This window comes from Homo sapiens, chromosome 18 (genome assembly GCF_000001405.40).
Source record: "Homo sapiens chromosome 18, GRCh38.p14 Primary Assembly".
In the NCBI taxonomy this organism is placed as follows: Eukaryota; Metazoa; Chordata; class Mammalia; order Primates; family Hominidae; genus Homo; species Homo sapiens.
Window position 1 is genome coordinate 70,618,515 of NC_000018.10, and position 3,121 is coordinate 70,621,635.

Consider the following 3,121-nt stretch of genomic DNA (forward strand, 5'->3'; position numbering starts at 1 on the left):
AACACAGACAAACATGCAAACGAAGCCCTTGTCCTCAAGGAGGTCATATTAACTGCAATGACTGAGAAAGGAGCTCCTTGGTAGTGAAAGATACATAGAGGATGTCCTATATCATAAAGACAGTGTGGCCTAAGTCCAGCGTGTTTCTCTGATCATATAATGCCCAATTGACATACAGTACAACTATGGTGTTGAGGAGAAAGATACTCCAAGAGTTCATTAAGCAGCCTAGCATAGGGCAGCAGGAAGTTCAGGGAAAGCAGAGATGGATTGGGGAAGGATGTGTATGCGTAATTTCCATGAAGACATTTTTTAAATGGATTTTTCTGCCAGAGTCCAGTCAGAAAAATGAACATCATGTTATGCACTTCAAACGCAGGAGACTTAAGATGGGGAAGTCCCAAAAGTGTTGGATAAACCAAAGATTAAAACAGGGCACTCAATGTAACCCAGAAATAAATATCAGTTCAGAGGGCAAAAGGGAAGAAAGTGGTTTTACCAGAATTCAGAAGCATGCTTGTTGTATTGCCTGTGCCACGTGAGACACTGAGACTGACTGGCTAGTGTGAGAACCTATAAGGTGGGGGTGTCCTGGGCCAATGCTGGATTCATGGTAAAGGGGCTGTGTGGCCGGTGATAACTGTGGAGAGACTGCTGCACACACTAGGATTGCAGAGAGATGCAAACACTTCAGCGACACTGTTGGAAGGAGGGAGGTGGGGAGAATGAGCATAAACAGAGGCTTCTTCCTTCTTCCCTTCAGTCTTTGGGTATTCTACTAGTTCCCAGAAATGACAAAATTCACAGCAAGCCAACAGGCAAGGGAGTCTCTGGGAAACGTAGTTTTCAGACTTCTAGTGCTAGTGTCGTAGAGCCAATTATATAAGAGGGCATATGGGTTTGAAAGCCAACAGGTACATATTGAAACAACCTACCTTTTTGGCACTAGGAATCCGTACACAGCCTTTTATTCATAAGCAAATTTCCATCTTACGCCAATAAAAAAATCGTCTTCCTAGCAAGATGCAAAGATAAAAAGATCTTTGTATTTATTTATTTATTTTTGAGATGGAGTCTCACTCTGTTGCCCAGGCTGGAGTGCAATGGCGTGCTCTCGGCTCACTGCAATTTCTGCCTCCCAGGTTCAAGTGATGCTCCTGCTTCAGCCTCCTGAGTAGTTTGGATTACAGGCATGCACCACCATGCCCAGCTAATTTTTTTTTTTTGTATGTTTAGTACAGATGAGGTTTCACCATGTTGGTCAGGCTGGTCTCGAACTCCTGACCTTGTGATCTGCCTGCCTCAGCCTCCCAAAGTGCTGGGATTACAGGTATGAGCCACTGCGCCTGGTCTATTCTTTATACAGATGATCTAACTTCTGTCTGGACCAAAGGAGTGGATTAAATGGAGATGTAAAATTAATGATCCGTACTGCCTCTTTCAAGTCTTTTATGGTATTTTTATGGTGCGACTAAATTCATAAGTTTCCCCAAGGGCATAATATTGCTTTGGTTTTACTATTTGGTAGCAATGTGGTGATATCTCAGGGCCATCCACTTGGTCCTTCTTAGCTTAGGTCATGCAACCAAGGTGAGGATTCCAGCTGCTGCTAAGTGTGTATAACCCATTATACCTTCAGCAACTGTACACATTCCAGCAGGGTGGGTCTGTGGACCTATTATGAGAAAGACTTGGGCTAAAACTCCATTATTATCTAAACTGTGTAAGTTTCCCCTCTGACAATAAACCACCATGACTTTCCCTAGAGATTAGTGTCAGTGCAGAGCAAGTGTTTAGTAAATTCTAAAATCTGGGCCATTCTGTCTACCCAGTGTATAGCTGCTCAAGAATATGACACAGGTCCTTTTGAGGAAGCTTAGACAAAGGATTGATAATGGACACCAGTGACAATGTAGCAGGATTCAAACTCAAAAGAAGTCAGCTTCCCCTCCAATAAAAGGACTCTGCCTCTGTGAGATGGTCTTGTTCTGATACTGGGTAAAAGACTGTGACCCTCTGTTGTCCTCACTCGAGTTAGTTTCTGCTCACCAGACTGGAGACTATCCAATTACACAGGCCAGGTAACAATCCAGTAGGCAGCTCATCTCTCTCTTTCCTGAGTCTATTGGGTACCACCAATGATCCCTGTGAGTTGTGAAAGAAATCAAATATGTTACCACCAAATGTACTTCTTTGACACCCTTTGAGATGGTTATTCATTGAGCCAGCAAACAGAAGTGGCTCTGCAAAGCTGTCTTTTGTGGGGAGAGTGGCATCTGCAGAGACTCTGCATTGATGCAGCCAGGTCTCCCCTTGTCCAGATCTAGGAAAGATTAACTGAGTCTGATACTCTTAAAGGTCAGAAAGAAATATTTACCATCCTTTGTCTCTGAGGGCTGCTACCTGTGAGGTTTCAGTTATGTAACAAGGCCACCTTGCTAGCCAGACTTCCTCTTCTCTTTCTCCCATAACTTGTTTTGCCATGATCAAAGCCCCCATTCACTCTGTAATTTCAAGATGGTATATAAGCTTCTACACCCTGTTAGGTGAAGGGGAGGTTTTCCCTTGGCCCCTACGGCTGAAACATTCACATTGCCCTTCTGGCTCTATGGCCTACTACGTGCCCACCTCTCAAATCTGTATTACAATGTACTATTTAGTTTTTAGCATAATCCTCAGCCCTAAATGCATTCTGACTATAAGATGTGAGGTTTTTATTTGTTTGTTTTAGAGCTACCTTAAACAAACAAACAAATGAAAACCCTTACATCTTCACTACTGTAGACATTCTTTGATTTTCTGACCATACCTTGAACTGAGAGTTTAACCTCTGAGTGTATCCTTTTCTTTCCCTGTATCTTGAGTGCATTTAGAAGTAACTGCCCCACACTGTAGCCCTTTGAATCATCAGTACTAAAAGTTACAGTTAAATGAAGTGGCCACTTGCTTTCCCAAAGCCTTGTCTTTAGCAGAATTTTGACCTCAAGCTACAAGAGGTGATTAAGTCATTATAATGCCACTTCAAGTCTCAGTTTACTAGATACCTATTTTCTGCTGCAAATAAGGAGGTCATTCTATGCAAGCTTGAACAGGTCAACAGATCAATACTGGAATTCAGTTT